Consider the following 24,756-nt stretch of genomic DNA (forward strand, 5'->3'; position numbering starts at 1 on the left):
ACTGGTGCAACATTTGCTGAGCACCTCGCGGGCACTATCTTCTCTTCAGGCCGTAGGTTCCATTTTGACCCCACTGCTAGACAGCAAGGACATCTCAAATACCAATGTATGAATTTTACCGACTTTGATGACTGTAAGGAAGCCCTGTCCTGCACAAACCCCATCAACCACTTGAACCATTGATTCATCCTCTAAAAAGCACAGTTAGGCCACTCTCAAGCTTTTCCACTTTCAGTCTTGCTTTGTTGAGATAGGTTTCATGAAGCCTTTCCTAATTAAAGTTTGTAATGAGGATTTGATTCATCAACACATTTCTTTGCTCGTAGCTCCTACACCAGTTGTAGACAACTTCTACCACTGTGGAGTTCCTTTTTTGCACATTATTTCCTTCGGCTCCAATTCTCTCCCTTCAAATTTTTGCAGAATTTAATGTTGGCATGGAGATTGGATTCATCTGTCAATTTTTAGATCAATAACTATTTTTACTGTGCACAGTTTTAGTTGATGCCAGTTTTATTTTGTGTTATTTCTACTAGTGATGTTCATGTTGAATTGGATAAGAGACAAATGGTGCATGTTTCTTTCTTAGGAAACCAATGAGAAATAGAAAAATGTTTGTGAGTCAGAAAAAGAAAAGAAGACAGACAACCAAGAGAAAGAGATCCAGAAAGAGACAGAGGCTGATAGAGAGGCAGAGACAGGAAGACACAGAGACAAAGCAGAGAGAGACACATGCAGTGATGGTTTGGCTCCTGGCCACTCAGTGGAGTCAAATGACAGTGTCCATCCTAGTGTGCCCCATTGCCCTGCTTCCTCTCCAATCAAAAGCTGGACATTCCCACTTCCAGGAAGTTGCCTTAACCTGGAAGGTCCTTTCCTTCTGGACTTAGCTCAAGGTTGCTCATTCAATTGCTCAGGACAGCTTTATCAAAATAAGATAAAAGGTCACCCAGATGGTGTCCCAGCAGACATGGCCTCTGGGAAGACACTGACCAACAGATAACACCCCAGGCCCAAGTAAAACCAACTCATCCCTTGGCCTAAGCCAAGTTGCTCACATGCACCCTAGGTGCATGTGAGGCTGGGGGTCCCACTTGTGAAGTATCTAGCAGGGCACTGGCACACAGTGGATGCTTAAACAGTGTCCCTCTGCCCTGATGTCATCATGGTCCCCACCTCAATGGGCTGGCTAAGGATGGTGCAAACCCTCTCAGCTCTGGTTTCACTTGCAACAGAACAGTGGCCTCATCCTCGCCCAGGGCCTGTGGGGTGAACAGGATGGGAGCTTAAGGTCTCCCTGGCTCAGCCTTCAGGCTGGTGAGAGGTCCTCCTTTGCAGGACAGACCTAGACTCAGATTGAGCAGAGGCAGACTCTCGTTGCCCTTCTCTTCCTGCCATCTCCACTGTGTGGAGCTCCATGTTAAGAAAGCCTCTGAAGCTGAGCCTTTGGGAAGAACTGTGGTGATCGATAAGCACTGTCATCGACGAGGGCCAGGGGAGCTTGTCTTGTGTTTCCTGCATCTTTAGTTGCTGCTCTGCAAAGACCAAGAGCACAGGGACCTGGGTCTGAGCCTTAGCTACACCACCACCAGCTAGTGACTGTGGGCAAGACTTGTCACCTCTCTGAGCCTCAGTTCTTCATCTGGGAAATAGGGATAATATCATGATTTATCTCACAGGGTTGTCATGAGGACTAAGGGAAGTGGTGCATATGTGGGTGCTAATAAGAATTTATGAAGGGGCTGGGCACCATGGCCCACGTCTGTAATCCTAGCATGTTGGGAGGCCGAGGCAGAAGGATCACTTGAGGTCAGGAGCTCAAGACCAGCCTGGCCAACATGGTGAAATCCCGTCTCTACTAAAAATACAAAAATTAGCCAGGCATGGTGGCAGGGACCTGTAATCCCAGCTACTCGGGAGGCTGAAACAGGAGAATCACTTAAGCCTGGGAGGCAAAGGTTGCAGTGAGCTGAGATTGTGCCACTGCATTCCAGCCTAGGCAACAGAGCAAGGCTCCATCTCAGAAAAAAAAAAAAAAGAATTTATGAAGGAATGGGTTTTTTCTCCCTTATTTGTCAGGTGAGTCAGCAGTGGGGTAGAAGAGCTGTGGTCTGAGCTTCATTATTTTCACACATGGTGACCCAGGCCAGCTGTTTTTTTTTTTTCTCTCTCTCTCTGGCCCTCAATTTCCTCTCCAATAAAGTGGACCTAACAGTTTCTTATAAAGAGCTAAACACACACTTAGCATGCAACCCAGCAATCCCACTCCTAGGTATTTAGCCAAGAGAAAGGAAACACATATTCACATGACACTTGCGTATCAGTGTTTAGGGTGGCTTTATCCACAGCATCCCAAACTAGAACCCACACAAATGCCCACCAACAAGTGGATGGATGAACGCTCTGAGGTACATCCACTCCCCGGAAGAACAAGGCACTGACACGTGCAACTACATGGGTGGGTCTCAAAACAGGCTGAGCCAAAGAGGCCAGAGACAAAAGATATCCATGCTGTGATTCGGTTTATATGAAACTCTTAAAGACAAACTGAATACATACCAATAGGAAGATCAGTGGTGGCCTAGGTCTGGTGGGAATGTTCTAATTGTACCTTGATTGGGTTGGTGGCTACATAAAAATGTATACACTTGTCAAAACGTACTAAACTGTACACTAAAAATGAGTGTGTTTTACTGTATATACATTAGACTTCAACAAAGTTATTTTTTAAAAATGTCCCTGAGGCAACCTTCCTGCAAACTTTCTAGGGCTCGTGTGTGATCGGATGGGAGGACGGGCATGTAGGAACTTTGTCAGGCGGGAAAGCCCTTCACAGGTGGGAGGCATTGTGGTAACTTCTATGGCTGGTACTGAAAACAGCAACCACAGCCCAACCACGCCAGTTCTACTGAGAGTCTCCCACCAAGATGAGAACGCCACAGCCCTGGAGTCAGGCCCACCCAGGCTGGCGTTCAGTCTCCCGCCTTCACAACCCTGGGGAAAAGGCTTCCTCCCCAAGCCTCTGTTTCTGGAATATTCCTCTCAGCTTGGCTCTGGGCTGAACACAAGATGTGCCATCAACCCTTATCAAATGTTGATTTCTCCAGTATCCATTGACCACGAGACCAGGGCTGAGAGGAGCAGCCTCCCTGGGGCTCACAGCACTGCAGCAGCAGAAGCAGCCAGAACCCCACATCCTTCCATGCCATTCCTGGACTGGCCTTTGGGCTGCACTCGGTGCCATACGGGGTGGGGTGATGGGGTGAGGCTGTCCATCACATGGGTAACAGGTTCCCTGTGTGGCTTTCGTGGCAGTGTATGGCAGCCTCTCCTTTCAGCACAGAGGCTGATGGCTAAGTCACCGCATGCCAGGGCACTCAGAGAACTACTGTGTCCAACACAGGACTTCATGTTGGTCCCTGTGGGGCAGGGGCTGGGTCTGGTCACCTCCATACCCCAGCACCCAGAGCAGGTGCTAAGCCAACACTCATTTACAAGTAGTCCATGGAGACCACACCGTGCCAAGTCCTGGTGGCCCCAGAAGGTTCTCCTCCCTCTCCCTCTGCTAAGGCCCCATGGCCTCTCCTGCCCTTCCCTGAGTGGTTTCTTCCAGCCTCAGGTAGGAAGGGGACCACACATCTTTAAATTGCCTCATGGTGTTAGATAAGCACCTTTGCTTCCCTGTAATGGTTCATTCATGCATCAACTTGGCCAGGCTGGGCTGGACGCAATGGTGCACACTTGTATTCCCAGCACTTTAGGAAGCCGAGGTGGGAGGATAATTTGAACTCAGGAGTTCCAGACCAGCCTGGGCAACATAGTGAGACCTTGTCTCTACAAAAAATAAAAAAAATTAGCCGGTGTGGTGGCCCATGCCTGAGCTTCCAACTTGAGAGACTGAGGCAGGAGGATCACTTGAGCCCAGTAGTTTGAGGCTGCAGTGAGCTGAGATCGCACCACTGTACTTCATGCACTCCAGCCTGGGCCACAGAATGAGACCCTGTCTCAAAAACAAAAGAAACAAACAAAAAACCCAAAAACCCACTTGACCAGGCTTTAGTGCCCAGTTGTTTGGTCAAACATAGTCTGGATGTGGCTGTGAAGGTATTTTTTAGATGTGATTACATTTAAATCAACAGACTTTTGAGTAAAGCATTTTACCCTCCACAATGTGGGTTGGCCTGATGCAATCAGTAGTGAAATTAAGAGCAAAGATTGAGATTCTCTAAAGAGGAAGGAATTGTCCTCAAGGCTGCAACATAGAGACCCTGCTTGAGCCTGCCTGGGCTGCCCTGCAGATTACTGACTACCAGCTCCACAATTGCATGAGCCAATTCCTTTAAATCAACCTCTTCCTCTGTCTTTCTGGATAGACATGATAGATGGATGGATGGATAGATGATAGACAGATGGATGGGCGGATGGGTGGATGGGTGGATAGATAGATGTTCGGATGGGTGGATGGATCTATTGGTTCTCTTTCTGTGGAGAACTCTGACTAATACACTCTTGGAGCCCCACCCTCCTCATCCAAATGAACTGAGGCTCCCACAGTGGACATCAGCTGTTTCTGCCCATCCAGCATACAGACCTCCTTTTGGTAACAGCACCCTGATTTTGCTCTGGGGAGACCCCCTCCCTTACCCCCTGTCCATGTGATTTCCTGGCTTACGGATGAGTTGGGTGAGAGCAGCAGGAGAGACTGACTGCAGAGGGGGTCTCCCTCCCCAACCCTGTCCATGTGGTTCACAGGGCTGACACTGCTTCCAAGAAGGGCATAAGCCAGGTTTATCCAATCATAGCAGTCCTTTCTCCAGGCCACAGTGACTGGCTGAGGGACAAGCACGTGACCCCACACTGTCCAATGGGAGACAGCCCCAGGACTTTTGCTGGAGCCATCTGCATGTTCTTTGTCCACTGGAAGGTAGAATGATATAAGTCTGGAGAGCCTGCCCAAAGCAAAGCCAACAGCCCAGAGAAAGAGAGAAGTGAATGATGGGAAGACCAAGCTCTGATGTTGTCCCTTGAGCCCCTGGATGTAGCCCTTCCTGATGCCAATATGAGCATTGAAGGTCTCTTTCGCACTTGGGCAAGTTGGGGTTGGGTTTCTACCACTTATAACCTAACACTGCCTGCCTGCTACTGCCTTCTTGGAAAGGCGTGAGAAGGAACAGGTGGTTGTGGCTCAGCTGATAGAGTTTGGCCTGGCCTCTGTTTTGGATGCTGGTGTTGGCAAGTTTGGAAGAGAGCTGAGGAGTAGGGCAACAGAGGAAAGACTTGAGAGAGGGGAGAAGTAGTGGGAAAAGGAATCCAGCAGCAGGGCTACCAGGGAGACAGGCTAGGGGAGACGAGAGATACTGGTCAGGAGCATGACGTGTTGCTCCTCATATCTCAGGGACTCCTCAGGAAAGCCACAGTTATACTCCCACTGCAGGGTATAAGAGTCTCGCAGCTCCACTGCCATGCAAATGTGCAAACACTTGGCATTGTCAAAGTTTCTAATGTCAGCCCTCCTGGCAGGTATCCCACTGTGGTTTTAATTTCCATTTTCCTCAAGTAAGAAGCTGTTGAGCACCTTTTCATGCATTTACTGGCCGCTTGGATCACTGCTCAAGTCACTAGCCCAGTTTTCTATTGAGTTGTCTGTCTTCTTCTATAGGTGTTAAATACGGCTGCAAGGTAGGCACAGGGTGAGACCAGAGGCCACCCACAAGATTTAGGGACATCTGGATGGATCTAAAGGGGGTCTTTGCACAAATCACCAAGTCTTTCTAGCTTGGATGTTTTAGGAATCTTTGACCCTCATTCCTAGATTACAGGAAGGATTAAGGCAGGAGGTCTGGAGAAGAGAGGAAGGGAGGGCCAACAGATATCTGCTTCGTGTCCAGAGCCACTTCACCTTATTGTGCTGCAGCCACCCTTGTCTTCCCTGAACATGCCAAGCTTGTTTGCGCCTCAGGACCTTTGTATTTGTGCATGCAGTTCCTTGCAGGGCTGGCTCCTTCTCATCATTCAGGAAGTCTTCTCCGAGCATCTCAGCTGAGAGGGTGTCTCCCTCCCTCTCTATCCCCTGATTCTGCTTCATTCATTTTCACTCCGTGACCTAATTAGCATGCACATCTGTTTGTTGACATGTGCTTGGCTGGCTTGCCCATTAGAACTTAAGATCCATCAGGGCAAGGTCCTAGTCTCTGTCATGTTCACCACTGGGTCCTGAGGGCCTAAGGCAGTGCCTGGCACATAGTAGCTGCTCAGTAAACATTTGTTGAGTGAATGAGTGAACAAGTCTTAACAACAACCCTGTTAGGTAGACACTGACTATGTGTTCATTTCCCAGATGAAGACACTGAGACTCAGAGCAAGTGGCTGAGCAGGAGTGGAACCCAGGTCTTTCTCACTCCATAGGTTGTCATTGCTCCCCTACCCCTCTCCAGCTTTCTTTCGGCTCTGGGGGTGGCAGTTCCATGAATTCTTACCCTGTCTTATGACTGGATTTCCTGGCTCGTGGATGAGTTGGGTAAGAGCAGCAGGAGAGACTGACTGTAGTTGGGGGGATTTTGGGGGCTGAGAGCCCTGTGATGAGGCCAGTGCATGAACCGGATGCAGGGCAAGTTTACAAACCTAGGCCCACCTCAGTGGTCAAACCATCATGAGAGATGTCTCGAGAGATGTCCTGAAAGCCTCTTAGTCCAACCCCCAGCCAGAACAGGAACCCTTTTGACAGCAACCTTGATGGGGGCCCACCACCTCCCAGGGAAGTCCAGTCCAGTCTTGCCAAGCTCCAAGGGGAGCAAAAGCTACTGGGGCCTTCCCTGACCAGAGCTCAGCTGGCAGGCCGGGAGGCTGGGAGGCTGGGAGGCTGGGAGGCTGAGAGGGAAAGCCCAGCGCCTCCTAACTGGGAATTCTGAGCACTGCTGGATGTGTGGCAAGAAATTAGGTTAAAGGAAGAATAATCAGCTCATTAACCCCCTTGCCAGACTCCACATGCTCACAGAGGCCTGCTTCTAAGCTACGCTGCTGACTGTCACTGCCTGCCGGGATCCGGGTGGAGTGGTACAAGTGAGATATTTTATTTATGTGTCATGCATATTTATTAGGAAGAGGTAAATAAATTAGCTGCCTGCCATCTGCAACCACCAGTGTACGCCAAGTTCCTTCCCTCCTCCTCCATCTTGGGAGGGGCCACACCAGCAAAGCCCAAACCCTGTGAAAAGGAGGGTCTCCTTTCTAGTCAGATTTCCTCCATAGTTTGAGCAGCCCTAGAATTAGAATTTTTCCAAGAGGAAATGGATGCCAGTTGCTATCCTAGACCACTTGCCAAAATCTGATCTTCCCAGCAACCCTGAAAGGTGGGCATATTGCCATCTGCATTTTATAGACAAAGACACTATGGCTCAGAGAGATCAGGTCACTTGCCCAGGTCACACAGTAGGTGAGGGGAGTAGCTCAGCTCAAGTCACAGAGGCCTAGGGACTTCTGTGACAAGCTGGAGAGAAAGGCTGGACCAGGAGGTGACTGCATTCTTGCTCTGACACTAGTTGCTGTGGGGTCCAGGCCGGTCCCATAACTCTCTTGGCCCTTCTCTATTGAAAGGGAAAATAAAACACAACAGAACAGACTCCACTTGGGGCTGTGTGGAGAATCAAGTCACCATTCATCCAAGTCCTGAGTGTCCTTCAAGCCCACCGTGGAGGCTCCTGACTCTGTGAAGGGGCCACACGACCCCCATCGCTGCCCCAGGCTTGCTGCGTGACTCTGTGCATATCAGTGGACCTCTTGGAGCCTCAGTTTCCTCCTCTGTAACATGGAAAAACAACTTGCGGGGAAGGTGTGCTCGCTACAAGGAAGAGGATTTCGCTGTGTGGAAATCCTTGTAAAACACGTGTCCAGTGGGAGGTAGGCAGCAGCCTGGGACCGCGGACTATGGGCGGAGGAGGGGCTCCAGAATGCCCAGTGGTGCTGCAGGGCCCAGAGAGGGGCCATAACTTGCCCAGGCTCGCACAGCAAATAGAGCTGTTGGGAGCCCTAGAACACCTGCCTCTCAGACGGCAGAGAAGGATCCCAGAGTACTGAGCCTGGATCTGAATCTTTTACGAAGCACCCATACATCTCCCCTGGAATCACTCCTGCCCGCAGCCCATAGACCCTGCCTCACTGCCTCGCTGCCTCTGCCTCCCTACAGGGTCTTTTCATTAAATTAAGTGCAGAATCTGATGCAATTGCTGTTGATTTTCCCCAAGGGGCCACCTGCCACCTCTTTCCAGGATGCCTGCAGGGCCAGGACTGAGGCAAGGCACTCACACACCCACAAACAAATATTATGGAGTTGTTTTTTGTTGTGGTTTTTTGAGATGGAGTCTCGCTCTGTTGCTGAGGCTGGAGTGCAGTGGCACGATCTCAGCTCACTGCAAGCTTTGCCTCCCGGGTTCAAACGATTCTCCTGTCTGTCTCCCGAGTAGCCGGGACTACACTCACCCGCCACCATGCCCAGCTAATTTTTGTATTTTTGGTAGAGATGGGGTTTCACCATATTGACCAGGCTGATCTTGAACTCCTGACCTCGTGATGCACCTGCCTCGGCCTCCCAAAGGGCTGGTATTACAGGCGTGAGCCACCACGCCTGGCCATATTATGGAGATTTCAGCATAAAATATTATTTTTAAAGGTGTTTGATTTAATATATTTGAACCTGATGTTAGTGAGCCCCCATGGGGCCCACACAGCCTCCATATAGCTCTGGGAGGTAGAATTGGCCCATTTCACACGTAAAGGGCAGTTCAGAGCAGACACAGGCCCATTAGGCCCCCACTTCTGGGACCGAGGCAGCTGGAGGGGAAAGGGACTGCAGCTGGGCAGAGCCACCTTGTCCTAGGGTGACTGTCAGAGGAAACAGACGTGAGCTGCAAGGAGGAGGCAGGCTAGGCTTAAAGGAGACCAGAGAGCAGCTCCAGTGAACTCTGCACAGCGAACAAACCTCAGCCCCCCAGCTTCCTTCAGGAGGAATATACACAGCTAGCTCAACCAAGCACCCACTGCATACCAGGCACTGACTGTCACACTGGCTCATTTAACTCTCACCACCTCTCCAGCAGAAAGGTACCATTTTTATTCCATTTTACAGATGAGGAAATGGAGGGTCCCTTCAGCCTAAAGATGACAGAGTCAGAGGGGACAGCAGGTGCAAGGTCTCAGGAATGAGAAATCAGGTCCCACATCAGCCCCCCAGCTTAAAGCACAACAAAGGTTTCCCATGATGCTCAGAAGAAACCCAAATTCCTTCCATTGGCCTGGCACCCCGGCTAAGCTCTCTGCCCTTACCCCATTTCACTCTCCGGCTTTCTCACAGCATGGCAACCACACTGGCCTCCGTTCTTCAAACACACCAGGTGCACTCTTGCCCCAGGGCCTTTGCTCCTGTGGTTCCCTCTACCTGGACCACTTTTCTTCCAGGTCTTCCCTTGGTTGGGCCCCACACAAATGTCACCTCCTCTAGAAGGCCCTCCCTGACTACCCCATCAACTTCTATCATTCATCCCCTTGCCCTGTCCTCCAAACAGCACTTCTTCCCCCAGTGAACTCTTACTTATTTGTCCCGTTTCTGGTCCATCTTCTCTGCTCCACAAGAATAAAGACTCAGTCTTATTCACTACTGTACCCCAGCACTTAGTGACTGGCATGTGCGAGTTAAACAGTTGTAGAATGACTGAAAGAAGAAAAAAGGAATCTGCCTGCAGGGCTGGGTGCCAGGGCCAGGAGGCAGGCAGGAGAGGCAGCAAATGCCTAGGTTCGGGCAATGGTGACAACAGCCCTGCCCTCCCCCGGAGGCTGGTTCCCTGAATCAAAGGTGCTGGGGTTAGGGGCACTTCCCAGAGGAAGTGGGGAGGCCTCATGGAATGTAGAGAGGGATAAATGGCCTAGAACATGAGGAATAGCCATACTCCAGGAGATTATGTGGCCCTTAAAAATGACAAGTGTAAGAAATAACATCTGCGGGGGGAAAGCCTATATGAATTGCATGATAGACTGATGGCAGCCCCAGGAAACGTAAGTCTTACTGCAGCCTTATTTAAAAAGCCCAGTGCTGAGACAACCTTGATGTCCAACCATGGGGGAACAGGTAAATAAACCATGCCTGGAATGACCACTCCATGATGCATTCTGCCACTCAAGGGCTTTTAATAATCCAGGGAAATACTGATCCTGTAAAGCCAGGTGAAGAAAAAACAAAACATAAAATAATGTGTGTGGTATGACAGCAACAAAAATAAATGATAGATAAAAGACTGAAAGGAAATACACCAGAGTGGCCCTGGGGAGGGGGCAGGTGGAGGATGATTTTCATTTTCTTCTTCGTCTTTATTTTCAAAATAGTCTATATTTAACAACAATTACATGCTTAATCTGAGAAAAAGTCATTTCACTTAAGAGGATTTATTTTCTTAAAAATAGCCAGAAGCCAGAGAAATGTGTCCATATCAGTTCTGTATGGAGAAGGAGGTCCACTGCATGGCAATGTCTTTGTTTATTGATGTCGCTGTGTTTAATTATTAAAACTAGTTTAAATGTCCAACAAACATCTTATGTGGTTTTATAAAATTAGAAATGTAGAAAAAGGAGGAACCATGAAACTGGCCAACAGGAGGGCCAAGAGTCCAATCCTAGCTCAGGTACTAAGTTAGGCAAAACTTTTCTCTTTTAGGCTGAGGTGTGTGGATCACCTGAGGTCAGGAGTTCGAGACCAGCCGGGCCAACATAGTGACATAGTGAAACTCCATCTCTACTTACAATACAAAAATTAGCCAGGCATGGTGGCGGGCACCTGTAGTCCCAGCTACTAGGGAGGCTGAGGCAGGAGAATCGCTTGAACCTGGGAGGCGGAGGTTGCAGTGAGCTGAGATCATGCCACTGCACTCCAGCCTGGGCGACAGAGTGAGATGCCATCTCCAAAAAAAAAAAAAAAACAAAACAAAAAAAACCCTTCTCTTTTCTGGGTCTCAATCTTCTCATCTGCAAAATGAAGTTAACTGTCCCTGCCTCCCATTGTTTGGTAGGATTGTGGCCTCTACAGAAAGGGTTGTGCCTGTGCCCAGCACATGGTAGTAAATGCTGGGTGCGCTCTGCCCTCCAAGACCCCAGCTCAGGGTCCTTCCAACTACTATACTCCCAACAGGTAGGCAGGGCTCCTCCTCAAATCTTTTCAATCTTGCACTCCGTCTATAAAAAATGTGCATTCCTCTGCAGTGACATATACATATTATTCATAAAGTAGCCATGTATTACTATATTTGCATATCATGCACATTATACAACATACCCAAAAAGAGAAACAAATTAAACTGTGATAGAAGATAAATGTAAATGGAAGCTCTTCATATTTGTTCCCAACCTCCTCCTCAGGAGACTGTCCTGGGCATGGCTCCTGCACCCAACCTGGGAGACCGTTAGCTCTGTCTGTGAGTTCCTGGAGGGCAGAGTTCACTGAGGTCTTAGTCACTGCTCTGGTCCCAACAAACTGTTGGCACTCAGTCAAGAGTTGTTTAGTGAGCTCTGTGGTTCAGCCTGGTTTATATTAGAAGAAACAAAAGAACAGCAAAAAGCAAGTCACTCAAGCCAGAGTCTGACTCCTTGGGTGTGAGGAACCCCGGCCTCCCCTGGGACCCTGGGCCACCCTCTCTCCTTCTCTGGACACTGTCTCCCTACCTACTACCCAGGAGAGCCAAACTGAGTGGTCTCTGAGAATAGGTCCTTTCTGCTGTCCTCAGACATCAGCCTCAAGCCCCTCCCCACTCACTCAAGGTGGGTGGCCTCTCCTGGGACCCAGGTGGCCACTGATGTGTACCCTTCTGGGGTCCAGCCTCACTGTAAAATACAGCTGCACCCACCTGCCTGCCCTTCAGGACTCCCGCCGGCCCAGAGCCAGCTGCCCACAAACCCCTGGATATAAATCTTGAGGCTCAGTTCCGTCAGCACAGAAGGCAAGCAGTAAATTTAAGGCTCCAGGGTCTCTGGCAGGAAAGCTTCCTGGGAGAATTCATTTTTCACCCTAGAAAAATTACCATCCCTGGATGAGAGAGGGGAAGCATTTGCTCATTTGGTTGAAAAGTGGTTGTTTGAAGGGCCCCCCACACCTCCCACACAGGGGATTCCCCAGCAAGCTTCTAGCTGGCTCCCAGCTTCCAGGGCTATCCATCCAGGGACCTCCAAGACAGGGGCCTCATGGCGGGCCCCTCACACCCAGCCCCCCAAAACCTGCCTCCATCCCTCTCCTCCAGGCTGTGGTCTCCACCCCACTGAGCAGAGGCCTGGGGCTGAACAGAAAGCGCCTACTCACTCGGGACCTTGAACAAGCAAAACCATCTCAAGTCTTTATCCTTTTTGCAAACTCACACAAATCCTAAGTGGGAGCATAAACTGGAACAGCCTTCTTGGGGAGCCATGCAACACCAGGCACTAGACACAACCTATTTCTTTAGCTAGAGAACGGGTGCACTGGGGACGTCTTTATGTTGCTCTTTAAAAAATACAAATGTACCCATCACTCTTCGTTGTGTACAATATACCTCGTGATAAAACAGCAAAGTGTAGAAATGCATGATAGTACACAACTATTTGTCTAAAAAGGGGGAAAGATGTATTCACAGTTGCTTCTATAGGCATAGAAGAAATTTCTAGAAGGACAGTCTAGAAATGGATGATGGTAGTTGTTGCCTACCATGGGAGAGGTGGGGACTAGCAGATGGAAGACAGGGGTTGGAGAAAGGTTCTTCAAGGATGTGTTTTGAGATTTTTTTTACCTGAACAATGTGACTGAGTTCTCAGGCCAATCCCCTATAGACAGTTGGTTTATTCCTTTTTAAAAGTTTATTGACACTGCAACAAATGTCCTTATTCATGTTGTCTAGTGCGTCTGTGATAGGTTTTTCTCTAGAATAGATACTTGGAGAAGGAACGGCCGGGTCAAAGAGTGTCAGCACTTGCCATATCGACAGGTAACTGTCAAACTAACCTCCACGATAGCACTACCCACTTATTGTAGATGTCAGCCTCTACTTCCCCCACAATCCCACCAACACTACAGACTACACTTTTTTTTTTTTTTTTTTTGAGACAAGGTCTCACTCTGTTGCCCAGGCTGGAGTGTAGTGGTATGACCATGGCTCACTGCAGCCTCAACCCCACATCTCAACCTCCCTGCTCAAGCAATCCTCCCATCTCAGCCTCCCAAGTAGCTAGGACTACAGGCATGAACCATCACACCTGGCCACTTTTTGTATTTTTTGTAGAGATGAGGTCTCACCATGTTACCTAGGCTGGTCTCAAACTCCTAGGTTCAAGTGATCCTCCTGCCTCACCTCCCAAAGTGGTAGGATTACAGGGGTGAGCCACCACACCCAGCTAAACACCACGAATTTTAAAATTTCCCATTAAAATTGATATTGCATGTGGCTTTTATGAGTGTTTTCCTAATGCTAACAGAATAATCCCTGAGAAGGTGAGGCTGGCCTTCTTTCAGCCCTTTCTGGCCACCTGTGTTTCCTCTTCTAATCGCTGCCTGCTCAGGCCTGTTCCCAGGCTCCTGGACGCTTACTTTTCTTATTGATTTGCAGATCTTTGTGTACTCAGATATCATTCTTTATCTGGGATGTAGGTTGTAAATACCACTCCTCCTCATCTGTGTCTTGTCTTTGAACCTTCTGAATGATTTCTTTTGTTATACAAAATGTTTTACTTTTTATTTTCCAATTTTTCAATCATTTTCTTCATCACATCTGCATTTGGACTTTTTCTCTCATCTGATAAGGCTGATACCCCGCCTTGCAGGGTTATTACAAGGAGTAGAGAGAGAATGAATAAGGCTCCCAGAAATGCTGAGCAAATGCTCCTAACATAGCAAGGACGGTCATTTCAGGGGTCGCCCTGCCTCCACTTGCTTCTCTCCCTCTAATAGCCAGCAGGAGCTTTCTGAAGATGTCACTCTTGCTTGAAAACCTTTCAACCGCCTAACGAGGATGAAGCTCAAATTCATCTAGCAAGTGAGTTCAAAGTCTCAAATACAAAGGCCTCTACCAGCTGAGCAGGTGATTAAGTGTATAAAGGGGCTGGGTGGAGAGTACCACAATGTGCCCCCAGGGGGAAAGCAAAAATGCAAACCCAGGGTTGCCCGATCTTCCAAAGAAAGCAGTAAATCTACATTTTTTTATGTGAACGTTCTACTCCATTGAAAACTTACTGGTAACTGATTTTTTAAGCCACTATCAGAGTCAAACAAGACCCACCTGTGAGCCAGATGTGGCTATCTCTGCCCTCCACAATCTGGCCCCAACCCACCTCTGCAGAGTCATCCCTCCACATGTGCACCTCACACAGCTAACAGGCCAGTCACACTACTCAGATGTGGGCACAGCACACTTCTCTCCACTCTGTGCTTTTGCACATGCTGATCCCTCTGCCTTAAATGCCTTTCCCTGCTCTTTCCTTCTGGCCAACTCTCAACTTCATCTTGAAAACCCAGATCAAATGTCAACTCCAATTCCCCAGCCCCAGACAGAATTCCACGCTCCTTCCCTGAGTGCCCGCCCCATCACTCCTGTGGTATTAATATTCCCTGTATGATCTTGAGCACCATACTTCCAGGAGAAGCTGCCTGAGGACACAGGAAGAGCCTTGGCTTGGCAGAAAGACATTCCTGGGGTGAAATCCCCACTCGGCCACTTCCCAGCAGCGCATCTTTGGGCAATTGACTTAACCTCTCTGTGCTTCAGGTTCTCAATTATGAGATGGAAATAATCAGACCTACGCTCAGTCAGGCTTCTGGGAAGATAAATGAAATGATATAAAAGAAGTATCTAGAATGCAACAGGGGCTTAATAATGGTTTATGCAATGAAAGAACAAATGGAATAAAGAATGACTATTTCCTCAGAGTTCTATAGACTCAGCAAATGGAAAAGTTAGCTAACTTTCTGGAAGGGAGCCTGGGTTTTAGCCAAACCGTGCCTCTTGCCTTCTTTTCCAACCTCCTGATTTCAGAGAAAGCTGTGGGCCCTCTATCTCCCAGTGCCAGGCACCCTGAGGACCTTCTGGGAGTACACGCCATTCAAGGGCAAGGACTACACAGGAGTGAGTCCCAGTAGGTAAACTGAGGCAGACCAGATGTCAAGAAAAGTAGAGAAGAGATGTAAGTACCTGGTGCCCAGGAGGCACATCAAGAGGAAGGGAAGCAGCAGCAGCCTCTCGGGCCTCTGTATCCACATCTGTCTGCTCTGTTCTGTGAGATCTAGGACCTTGTCTATCTACTTCAGCTCTGTATTCTGATGTCTGGCACATAGCAGGTACCCAAAAAAGTCTAATGATTGAATGGATGACTTTAAGTAATATGAATAAGGCTGCTCAGTAAAATGTAAATGGCCACGTGAATGCATCCAGCAGCTCCACATAGAGGGGCATCTCTGCCCCCTCCACACTCGGGCCTGTCCTAGCTGCTCCCAGGCTGGGTCCTTGAGCTCAGCTCAGAGTTGGAGTGGGGGAACTTTCAGAGAAAGGATGACAGATAGGACCATGCAGAAGTAAGTGCCTGAGAGGCTGATGATCCATGGGGCCTTCCAGGGCTCTGAGGCTCCACAGCTTCCACCCTGGGAGGTGCCATCCAAGTTTAAAGAGCCCCGAGGCCGAGTCTCCTGCCAGCAGACCTGCATGGACAGGCTCTGTGTCTCCAGCTGGTAAAGGAGTCGGGGAAAGAAAGAGGGTGGGAGGCCATCAGGCCCTGGGAAGCCTCTTTAAACAGTCGACCCCACACACTCCACTGAAGAAACCGGGCTCAGAGAGGAGAGAACTTGCCCAAGGTCGCCTACCAGGACGTGGACCCATGTTTAGCTGTCCTCACGGTTTGGGCTCTTTTCCCTGGCCAGATATTAGGAGACCCAATTCCCAGCACCGGCGGGAGTGTTTGATGTCACACATGAAGCTCTGGGTTTCCAGGCACCCAACAAGCCACGCTTCCCCTGACTCCTTGTGGTGGCCTAGCACAAAGAATAGGCTGCTACCTCCATTTCCCCATCTGCAGTCTAGTGTCTTGCTTGACCCTGTTCTTTGGAATTCTGGCCCCAAAACCCCGTGATCCTTGTTCTTGGCCAGGATCCTCCTCCCAGAGCAAAAACATGGAGCCACAATGCTGCTGCTGTCTGACTAGCATCCTCTTCCCAGACCAAGGACTTGGAGCCACAATGCTACCACCATCTGACTCGTGCCCTTCTCCCAGAACAAGGACACGGAGCCACAATGCTGCCACCATCTAACTTGAGTATTTTCTGCTCCACTGATCGCACCCCTGCCTGGTACACTCATAGGCCAGGACAAGCCTGGTGTCACCACACACGTGGACACCACTGGGAACTAATGTCATCCCCAACCCAGCCCAGCCTGGCCTGGATTTTCCCAGCCGCTGGGGTCTCAGCCCAGCACAGCTCAGGTGCCAAGTTCCTGACACCCTTGTCTGCCTGGGGAGCACAGTATTTGTCTCTGCTTTTGGCTTACATCTTGAGAGAATATTATTTGTATTATGGAGAAAAAAACATTCCTGAGATAAATATTTGCTCCAAAAGCCACTCCGACTTTCCTCTGACTCAGTGTCTTGTCTGGTTTCTCAGACACAGGCCTAGGGGCCTCCCCACTGGGCCATGAACATGACTGATCCTCATGGCTCCCGCTTCCGGCAACGCAAGAATCAAACGAGGACAACTTACGACCATTTGCTGTGTGCATCACCAAGCCTCGTTCAGTCCAGGCCAGTGGACAGAAGGCATCACACAAACGAGTGACACAGTCACCATGTGGGTCCAGAGCTCCTATAGTTCTCCCAAGATGACCCTGAACATGGGTTTTGTGTGACAAACCACCAACGATGCCACCCCATGGTTCACGAGGCGCAGGCCATCCTCCCTTCTCACAGTTCCAGTGCGCTACAGGTTGACAACATCCCTCATACTCCGGAGGCTAAAGGCATTGAGGTTCCTCGATAGGGATGCTGCTGGCATTTGGGGTGGAGAGTTCTTTGGGCAGGACTGTCCTGGATATGCCAGAGACATAGCATCTCTGGTACCCTCCCACTAAAGGCCAGCAGCCCTGCTGTGATTGTGACAACACAAAGACACCCCCACCCAGGCCCAAAGAGTTGAGAGCTAGGCTCTAGTCCAAACTTTCAAACCACACCCCCAGTGAAAGCTCATCCAAGCTCTATTTGCATGACCCTGATGGTGGGGGACTCACCCTTCTCAAAGCCCCCAGCCCATCCCTAGCCAACTGTGACCAGCAGAAAGCCTTTCACTGCAGTTGCTGCCTCCCTGTGACTCCTCTCCTGGCGAGGTGCAGCCCTGCCTTTTGGGGGCCTAGACCTGCCTGTTCTCTGTGCCTGGGATGGCCCTGAAGAGACCTGGTCTCCCCAGCCCTCAAGTACTGCTCTGAGCCCTCCCAGGACAGGTGCTCTGTCTCTCTGCCTCTGACTCTGGTCTGTCCCTATCCCTCTCCCAGGGTAGCAGGTACAGCAAACAATTGTCTCTTTCACAGTCTTGCTAAACACTGGGCCAGTCTGTGCTGGGAGCTAAGGGGTCCTGGCCCTCCCTCAGCCCTGCCCCGGGCTCTGGGGATATGGATCAGATGCCCCAGGAGGAAGAGCAGACTCGGGGCACGTGTGTAGGGAAGCGGTGACGTGCTGCCACACCGAGGGCAGAGGCTGGGAGCAGGCGTGACTCCCAGTGGCAGCCTTCCTTCCCTGGGGAAAGAGGCGCTCCCTCACCTTGCCTGAGGCCTGTCTGGAGAGTCCCAGACTGAGACTCAGTCTCTTGGGATCAACACTCAACACATGGGTGAATCCTGGGGAGGGAGAGGAGCTCCACTTGGGCCAGGGCAGGGCCACTCTAGGACTAGGACAATCACATCCAAAGGACCCTGCAGGAGCCACATGGAAACCTTAGCCCTCATTCACTTCCCAGTGGTTAAAAGCACAGCCTCTAGCCTGGGTTCAAATCCCAGCTTTGCCCCTTAGCTGCTGTGTGCCCTCAGGCAAGTCACTCAACATTTCTGCCTCAGTTTCCTCATCTGAAAAGTGAGATTAAGTATAGTACCTACCTCACAGGGTTGTTATGAAAATTAAAATAGTTAACATATAAAGCGCTTAGCCTGCATGGAGTAAACCATTAATAATGGTTAGCTGTTATTATTATTATTAAACAGAGTCTCACCCTGTCACCCAGGCCAAAGCACAGTGGCGCAATCACAGTTCACTGCAGCCTGGAACTCCTGGGCTCAAGTGACGTTCCCACCTCAGCCTCCCGAGTAGCTGGGACCACAGGTGTGTGCCACTACACCCGACTAATTTTTGTATTTTTTTGTAGAGATGGTGTCTCACTATGTTGCCCAGGCTGGGCTAGAACTCCTGGGCTCAAGTGATCCTCCCACCTCAGCCTCCTGAGTAGCTGGGACTACAGATGTGCGCCACCACACCCAGCTAATTTTTGTGCTTTTGTAGAGATGATGTCTATGTTGCCCAGGCTGGTCTAGAACTCCTGGCCTCAGATGGTCCTCCTGCCTCAACCTCCCAAAGCGCTGGGATTACAGGTGTGTGCCCAGCGCCTGGCTGTTATTATTGTCATTGTTTTTTACCTCACACACTCTCATCAGTGCAGCCCCTGCTCCAGCACACTCTTCAGCCCCTCCCCCACACCCATTTCAGGGACTTCCACAGGTATGAGCCGCCTGCACTTTCAAACCACTTTCTCCTCCATTTTTAAAAATTAGACGCACACAGCATCCCCTTGGGACAGAGCTATTTTCTGATTTTTCTGAGTAGGAAACTGAGGCCCCGAAAGGTCAGACAGTCGCCACGGGGATCACTCACAGAGTTGGGAAGGACCACAGACTTATGCTCCTGGCTCAGGCACTGTCTGAGACACCCACCCAGCCTTGGTGTGGCCCTGTGGGTGCTACAGCCACAGAGCAAGTGGGATGGAGATGCACACACGCAGGGAGGGGCTGCCTGGCTCCGCAGGTTGCCCCTTGCAGACCAGCAGCTCCGGCCAAGCCATTTTCCCTGAGCTTCAGCATCCTCGTGGTGGGGCCATGGTGAGGGCCGGATGTGCACAGGGGCAGCCCAGGGCCTGGCTCGCAAAGGTTGCTTCCTCCCCCTTCTCTTCTTTATTTCATTCACCACTCACCTAGTGAGCACCTACTGCATGCTGGCTTCTGAGCTGGGCACTTCAGACTCAAGGAGGAATGGGACGGGGTCCCTGCCCCCATGAGGCTCTATATCCAGTGATGGAGATACAAGCACATGCCTTTGTTCCTACAAAGTGAGAGGGGCTAATTCTGTCATGTTAGCAGGGACAACAGGAAGCTGCACCCACAGGCCTGGCCTTGGGGTCAGAACTGGAGGAAACCACCACTTACAGGGTGAAGAAGAGGATGGGAGAGGAACTCCAGGCAGGGGCAGCTGCCTGAGAAAGGCTCTGAGGTAGGAAGGAGCAAGCCCTCTGGCAGGTAAGGAGGTAAGAAAGGTTACTGCAGCCAATCACAGGGCTTTGAGTATCAGAGGCATCAAAGTAGGGACTCCTGGGCTAAATCCAGCTCAAAAGGGAGTGCGTTTGACCCTTAGGGCTTTTTGTTTAGATTGGTGGTTAACATTTTTAAAATTGAGAGAGACAGTAGGTTAAACTCTAGATTTTTAGCTTCTCTAGAAAAATCAGAAACTCTGGTGGTTGAACCAGAAACCCATAAGGCCCACATTCTCTGGTTCAACACTGTCCCCAGGCCCATCTCACTCCCTCACTCCACAAATACCTGTTGAGCACCTACTGTGTACCATGCAATATACTAGTCACCGGGAATACAGTGGAAAGCAAAATAGACACAAGCACAGTCCTCACAGCACTCACTAGAGGGAGAGAAAGGTGATATATGAGCACTTAACATAAAACCCAGCAGTGCAAAGGGCTGGCAGGAATAGGAAACTCATAGGACCAAAGGACTGCTATCTTATGTGGGATGATTAGGGAAGGCTTCTCTGAGGAGGGGACAGTTGTATAGATTTTTTTTTTTTAAGGCTGGAGCGCAGTGGTACAATCATGACTCACTGCAGCTTCAACCTCCCAGGCCCAAGTAATCCTCTTTCCTCAGCCTCCTGAGCAGCTGGGACTACAGGCACACGCCACCATACTCAGCTGATTTTTTAAATTTTTTTGTAGAAACAAGGTCTTGCCATGTTGCCCAGGCTGGTCTCAAACTCCTGAGCTCAAGTAATTCTACCTGCCTTGGCCTCCCAAGTGCTAGGATTATAGGAGCAGCCACTGCGCCCAGCCAGCTGCATAGATCTAAACGAAGTGAGTTACTGAACCAGTGGAAGATCAATCCAGCAAAAGGGAACAGCAAGTGCAAAGGCCCTGGGGTCCCCTTCACTCATCTTTTGGGTGAAGGCATTAAAGCCTGAGACCTTACTGTAAGTAATGGAGCATAATAAGCAATGTGTAAACAGGTGAAAACCACCTTCCAATATGTGTTTCAGATAAAACATCTCTGATCAGTGGTGGAAGAGACATGAGAAATAGGGAACTGGGTGGAAGGCATATGATAATTTTTTCCAGTGGGGAAAAAAAATCCCCATTAGGATGGCAGGGAAGAGGCAGAGAAGGCTCATGCATGGCATGCTAAAACCTGAGCCAAGGACAGAGAAGCCAAGAATGCGAGGGGGAATTCTCGTTTCCTTCCTCACCAACTGCATCATCTGCCAACCCCTGCAAAGTGGAGGCAGGGCAGGTGGAAGAGAGACCGAGAATGCTAAATCTTCTGCAGCCCTGAGGCTTTTTTTATGTGTTTTGGTTTTTTTAAAAAAAAATTATTTTCCAAGCCTACCCAGGCTGCTGCCTTAGAAAGCCAACTGCAAAGAAATCACTTTGATGGGTTTTGTGTTTCTCCACCACCTTTCTAAGCCAAATTAGAGTGTAGATTCCTTGTCCTTTTACCCACAAAGCAAAAGCAAAAGAGATGATTTTAAAGGAGAGGGTAAGAAAAACAAGTCTACAATCTATATCACCATTTGTGGCTGGGGTGGGGGTTGCGGGGGGCAATTCTGCATGCTGACATCATGATCCATGGCATGGGAAATGACTTCCACCATTCAAAGCTTTATTTGCATTTTTTGGAGGTACAAGGAGACATTTAAAATCAGCTCCGGTGTTGACACTGCAATTATTAAACCCAAACAAAAGATTCCTTCCAAAGTCTAACTGGTCCTCTGTAAATTTATCTGGGCCCCCACTACCTGATTTAAGGCAATGAGCAGATGTTTCACAGCAGGAAGTGCATTAGCTCCAGATGCCGCTTTGTTCAGGAAGTGTGTATGCACCCACGCACTGGAAACCACACACAAACACAAACACAAACACACGCACACACAAACACACACAGGACCTGGGGCAATGAACATTCATGGCTCCCCTTCCAGCATTTGGCATGACCTCGTGGACCATTTGTAACCTCTGCTTGCGGTTCTGACAGGGAAATGAGCAGCAGGAGTGAGGAGCCAATCAAAAGCCGCCTTATCGTCTTCCCGTTGTCTCCTAGGTAACCGGCATAGGGACACATCAGCTAGCTGGGTACCACAGGGGGACACACACACACACACACACGCACACACACAACCATGCTCCCTTAACAGTCCATAACTGCAGAAATGCCGGATGTGCCTATCAGCACCCTGGACAGATCCCCACCCCAACCCAAGACTTCAAAGCCTTTGGTTAACTACGTTGACAGCCTTTTATCTCCCACAGCTTTCTCACCTCCACCCCCTTACTCATGCTGTTTCTCTGCCTGGGATGCCACTCCCTACTACCATCTCTATCACCCAAAACTTTGGTCATTTTCGGAGCTAGCCCAAGCTCTTGGTCTCCCAAGAGCTCCGAGCCCCTCCTTCAAGGGCTCCCATCACAATAAGATCCACACTCCTTTCCCTGGCAGTAAAGGTCCTACACTGATCTGACTTTCCATGATCTGATTCCTCCAACCTTATCATTCTCTCCCTTCCTCTATTCTTCTTTCTCTTCCTCCAACAGGTCAAACTGTCCTCCCCACACAACCCCCTGAAGACCAGGGCTTTTCTTTATATTTGCTGTTCCCTCCGCCTGCCTTGCTTTTCCTTCTGCTCTTGGTGTGGCTGGGCCTTCTCACTCTTTAGTGCCAGCTCAAAGTCACCTTCCAGGGATGCCTCCCTGATCATCCTAGGCCATCCTGCTATAGAAGCACCCTCCCGCGGGACTCTCTTCTACATCACCCTGTATTCCTGTGTTGTCTTCATATCACTGATGACTCTCTGAAACTCTCCATTCACATTTATTTGTTCACTTGTTCTTTGTCTCCCCCTCTAGAATGTAAACTCTGTTTCACAGGGTCTTTTTCTTGTTCACAGTTTTATCCCCCAATACCCAGAACAAGGCCCAGTAAATATTTGTTGCATGAATGAAAAGTTGTTTCCTTCTTGCTGCATCTATGTTTCCCCCATCTCTCTAATAAGGGTTGGATCTGATGACTTCTATAACACTTCTGGCTAACATTCCAAGGGTCTATTAGAGACAGAAAGGGCCAGCATAAGGAGGGAAATTAATCAGGCCACACCACAGGAAGAATCTGCTGGTGGAAATCTGACCTTCTCAACTGGGTCGCAGCGCCTTCCTCCTCTGAGCAGTCTCCCTGATAGGAATTTGCTGCCGCCCTCAACTCCACACTCCCTAAGCACTGGGCACCTTGAACTTTTGTTATCTGAGGGATTGGGGGCAACTTGAGGCTAAGGACTGGCTTTTATTTTTCTGATTGTGCACAGAGGCCAGCCAGAGCCTGGGGAGGGGGAGTTGGAAAGGGGTCCTCTGGAAGCATTTGCTGCAATAAAAGAAAGAAAATGTCAAGGGGGAGGGTCATTGAAGCACAAGTCTCTCTCTCTCTCTCTCTCTCTGTGTGTGTGTGTGTGTGTGTGTGTGTTTGTGTGTGTGTGTGTGTCAGCTCCAGCTGGTCTCTGCACAATCAGAAAAATAAAAGCCTGTCCTTAGCTTCAAGTTACCCCCAATCCCTCAGATAACAGAAGTTCAAGGTGCCCAGTGCTTGGGAAGTGTGGATCACACACAAACACAGTCACACACACACAGACACACATACACACACAACTCAAAAACGTAATAAAGCAAGAATCACAGAGTATCCCAATCCCAGCAGCTACATGTGTCTCTCTTCAAGGAAGATGACTGCTGTTTAAGATTCTAAACCCTGTGTGAGTGATTCTGACACATGTGCTATGTAAGTCTGTGGTGTGTCTTGTCCATTCTCACTGGGCAACAGTAGGCCATGAATTCAAGTAGCCACATGGTAGACACAAACCTACTGGATCCCCTCAAACCCTAGCAGTGGAACATCTCAAGCTGGCCACTCATGACCCAGAAATCCACCCTGAGCCCTGAGTTCTCCTCTGACCAACGAGCCCAACAATGCATCAGATCATTTCTCCAAATCTGAAGTTAAATCAGATATAATAATCAAGAAAGGGAGAACAGAACTGGCATTTCTTAAGCACCTATTACGTGCTGGTTCCTGTGCTAGGATATGTTAGCATTGACTCTTTCTGACCACCCCGCGAGGCTGCCCCTCCAACTTTACAGGTGAAAGCAACTGAAGCTCAGAAAAATTAAGTAGTTTCCCCAAGGTCACATAGTTAGTAATCAGAGGGACTTAAGAAGGACATGAGTCTGGTCTTCAAGCCCACTCCTCTTTGTTGAGGCCTTAAATTATACAACGTGTAGGCAGATGAGCTGGTCTTGTTCAAAACATCCCTCCCGCTGGCTGGGGCCCCTCTCTGAGAGATGCCAGGTGGATGGCCCTGTCCCTGCATCTATCCCTGTCACTCCTGGGCCTGGCTGACCTCTCCCCACAACCTCTTGTCAAGCAGGACTCACATCTCCAAACCTCTCATGTGAGACCCAGCCCACGGGGACTAATTTTCCTGTGGCCCAGAGAAAGCCGGAGATTTTGCCTTTTTAAAATAGTAATTTCCTGCCAGCGCGGGTGGATACACCAGCCACCCTCTGATTTAGTGCGGAGCTCAAGGATCAATCCCAACTCAGATTTTCCAAGGAAAATTCAAATGTGGGGCACCTCCTGGCATTGAGGAAGGCATTGGCCTTCTCTCAAGAGATGTGTTCAGTGTGGGCAAAGCCATTGTTGGTGTCACAAGACTCTCATGCCTCATACATGTCACACACATGCCTTGTACACACCCACATGCATCTCAAACATGCCACCCACATAGACACACCATCCACCCGCCTCACCCATCTCTCTCTCTCACACACACACACACACACACACACGAACACACACACGAGGCAGGGGGTGTCAAGAGCAAGAGAGCTACATAGTCCCTCTCAGGACATTACAGCCCCCACTTCCAAGCCTGTTCTGGACTGTGTGCTTTGCCAGGGTGCCTCATTTCATCCTTCCTAGGGCCCCAACAGGACAGGTTGCCCCCCACCCCTTTAAAGAGGCAGAAAGTGAGCCTGAGAGAGGCTTGTCCAAGATCACAGGGCATGCTCAGACGAAAGTTAGTGGTGGGCACCTGGCTCTGCGAGATTTCCTTCTTAATTAGCCCTGCTCCTTGGGGGCAGCTCCGTTGAGTAGAGGCACTCCTCCAAGACACCGCCCCCCTCCTTATTGGCAGCCCTTCTCCCCT

General features: G+C 49.6%; 1 protein-coding gene across 2 annotated transcripts in view; it reads right to left on the reverse strand.

Annotated features, from left to right (window-relative positions):
* The window catches only part of GRIP2 (glutamate receptor interacting protein 2), a 113,911-nt gene that overhangs the window by 87,588 nt on the left and 1,567 nt on the right, over positions 1-24,756 (reverse strand). The gene's annotated exons all lie outside the window — the stretch shown is intronic.

Source organism: Homo sapiens, chromosome 3 (genome assembly GCF_000001405.40).
Source record: "Homo sapiens chromosome 3, GRCh38.p14 Primary Assembly".
Lineage (NCBI taxonomy): Eukaryota > Metazoa > Chordata > Mammalia > Primates > Hominidae > Homo > Homo sapiens.